The sequence below is a fragment of the Homo sapiens genome, chromosome 6 (genome assembly GCF_000001405.40).
Source record: "Homo sapiens chromosome 6, GRCh38.p14 Primary Assembly".
Taxonomy (NCBI): Eukaryota; Metazoa; Chordata; class Mammalia; order Primates; family Hominidae; genus Homo; species Homo sapiens.
Window position 1 is genome coordinate 88,136,310 of NC_000006.12, and position 3,554 is coordinate 88,139,863.

The following is a 3,554-nucleotide window of genomic DNA, read 5'->3' on the forward strand; positions in this document are numbered from 1 at the left end:
TTAGCATTGATTGCACTGTGTTGCAATTATCTTTTTAAGTGCTCACCTACTTTCATTAGATCTTCAGTAATTTGATGGTTCACCATGGTGGATATATGCACAGCACAGTTCACTTATATAGAAATTGGCTTATGGGTCTCAACTCAGTAACCTAATAGTTAAGAGTGAATCTGAGCTATACCACTTACTAGTTGTGTGATCTTCAGCAGGCTACCGTCTGTCAAACTGGAACATTAATACCTCACAGAGTGGCTGAGAAGATTAAATGAGATGATTCATCTCATACTAAATGAGATAATTCATCTCATACTAAATGAGATAAATACCAATCATTGTTATCAATGCCAAGTACGAGGTAGGTTCTCAGTAAATACTTGCTAAATTGTATTTTACAGTTTTCACAATTTACACTTCACTGGCTATCAGAGTATTATTTCCTCAATGATGTATTCTACGTACAAGTTAAAAATAAAAGAGAAGTTTTGTTTTTTTTTTTAAATAAGTGAGTTAAAATCAAAACAAGAAAGTGGCCAAAGGGCTGGAAAACTTGCTACTGTAGGTGGGACTAGGAATTATTTTAGTGCCTGGCTCTGGAGATGAAATAAATCTAACTTCCCCTCAGCCACTCTTTCAGCTATCCAAGGTGTGTGATGATTCATATGAGGCCAAGTAACAAAGAACACAAATTTAATTTATTTTGACATCCAGAATAAATTTGACAAAGTTTTTGAATTGCTGCTGTCTGGAAAGGGAAGGAAAGGAAATAGAAACATGTACCTCATCATACCCATGCTCCCTTGCAATGTGGTGTGATGGAAAGATCCAGAGTTTAGAGACAAAAGACCTGGGTTTGCATTCAAGAGCAACTTACTAACTACCCATGTGAACTTGGGCAAGATACTTGGCCTCTTTGAGCCTACATATGTAGAATTAGACATTTTTACATTATTTTTACTAGGCATTCTGGTAGGTAGAGGTGGTGGTTTTCATCTTTAAACTTGTTAGCACATGGGAAATTTTCAATAAATACTTGTGGAATATATGGCTTTAACTGAAAGAAAAGTGAATAAAAGGAGGCACTGCTTAATAAAAATAATTTGGGCTTTGGAATCAGGAAGTCCTGGGTTCTAACCATAGTTACCTTGTCTTTACCTCACAGAGTTTTCCTTTCGCTTATAACATGAAGTTAATAAGAGAGACATCACAAGGATGCTGTGAGGGTTAAATAATATATATAAAGTGCTGGCACAATGCCTGACACTCAGTAGGCACAATAAAATATAGTGTCTTTGTCCTGATCACTAGCTAAAGAACTGGTATAGACATTATTAACTGAATAAGCCAAAATGAAATATTCCAACACAGATTAATTCTAATACTTTACATTGTTGTAGCCTTTTGCAGGTTTCAAAGCTCTTCAAAACACTTTATACCATCTGATGTTACTGCTATTTTCAGAGCTGGCATTTTTACAGATGAGAAAATCGAATCAGGGGTTGTGGCTTGTTTGAGTCTAAACAGCTAGAAAGTGAGCACACACTTCTACATTTCCGCTACAAGCGGGTCTGCATCTACACAGCGGTAATTCCTCCTCCAGTGTTCTTTCCAACACAGTGGCTGTCTGGGTCAAAACTGGGTATCTTTGACATTTGTCATGATTCTGATATTAGCCAAAAAGATTGTGTACTCAGTAAGGAACATATGAACATTTTCAAATAGATCAGGCTTACCCAAAGTTGTATTCTATTATTATTAAAATAAACACGTGAAGTGCTGCATTAGTCATCTATTTCTTAGTGTTAAGAGAACAATTATTTGTTTGCTCTACAAATATTTGAGCATGTTCAATGTAATGAAGGAGGTGCTGCAGTTAATACTTGGGAGTCCCAGTGTCTGATTTTTCTCTTAAGCTAAGATTGCAACTGTAATATTTTAATCACTCTTCCCATTTGTCAATTTCTTTTGTTCATTTCCCCTTTTTTTGGATGTGTCACAGGGAACTATGTAGTCTATAAGCCCAGGTATTTGTTATTTAATATTACCCAGAAACTTTTGAAGTGGTTAAGACAGTACTTAATGACCAGCATTTCTGAGGTGTTCGGAGACCAACCCATTACATATTTCACCTCCTAAGCTAACTAGATATATACCCTCCAAATTTCTCCTATCAGCATTCCAGGGGTAGGGAGTAAAGGAACAATGATGATGTGTACTGTTCATTTTCTAAAATCCAGTATGGAGCCAAGAACTTTACATGTATCACCTTCAATCCAGGAAAAACTTACAGAATATTCTAGAGATGAGTATAGAAATTTTCCAGTTGGAACCATCCTTGAGGCAAACTGGAGTTTCTGCATGTCTTAATTGATTTTGTTTCTACATTATCCTAAATGTATATTCCAATATAGATAGTAACATATATTGATTGTGGATTAGTTTTTGAGTCTTAAGATACTCTATGAAGATACTAAATAAGTATCTTTCTCTCATCAAGTCTCAGTATGAAATTTAAGAGCTGGCCGGGCGCGGTGGCTCACGCCTGTAATCCCAGCACTTTGGGAGGCCGAGGCGGGTGGATCATGAGGTCAGGAGATCGAGGCCAACCTGGCTAACAAGGTGAAACCCCGTCTCTACTAAAAATACAAAAAATTAGCCGGGCGCGGAGGCGGGCGCCTGTAGTCCCAGCTACTCGGGAGGCTGAGGCAGGAGAATGGCGTGAACCCGGGAAGCGGAGCTTGCAGTGAGCCGAGATTGCGCCACTGCAGTCCGCAGTCCGGCCTGGGCGACAGAGCGAGACTCCGTCTCAAAAAAAAAAAAAAAAAAAAAAAGAAAAAAAAAAAAGAAATTTAAGAGCTAAGAATATCTATCATTTGCTTTTTGTTAAGAAGCATTCAGCTTATGCACCCAGCCAGAGTTTACTAAAAGAGGCAGAATGATCGATTTTTGACTATAGTCATTAAAAAGCAAAGATAATCTACTCTCAATATTTCAACATAATCTATTTTCAAATAGTTAATTACTTGAAAAATTAAAATCTTTCAAAATTGACTGCAAACACACATTATTTCAGACAGTAATATTTAAACTTCATTGTAATGCTTTCTTCATTATAAAATTTAAAGGTATTTTCTCTTATTGTTCAAATTGAAATTATGAGTTTTTACAAACTGTGTTGAAAAGTACTTATCTCTTTTCTGTGGTTCAAAATATACAGTGCTCATAAATTCTTTCAATTTATATTGTACTATGTCTGTTAAGTCTCAATTTACACATTATGAATGGTATGTTTGTTTTAATTTACTGCAAAATCAGTTAAAATCTTTAATGAAATAATGCTTTTTAAAGGTGTGGTGGCCTTTTCTGCTTTATTGTGTAAAAAATAGCTTTTTGTGTGTTTTTCCTATGGTAAAAATAAATAGATTAATCCAATATGTCCCCACTTTTCAAGTAGTCATTAGTGCTTTTTGAGGAATAAATTAGTTCAGCAATCTTTTAGAAATTAAATCCTTAGTATTTTGCCATCAGACTGTGAAATAAGGCAGAGTTCAAAGGCA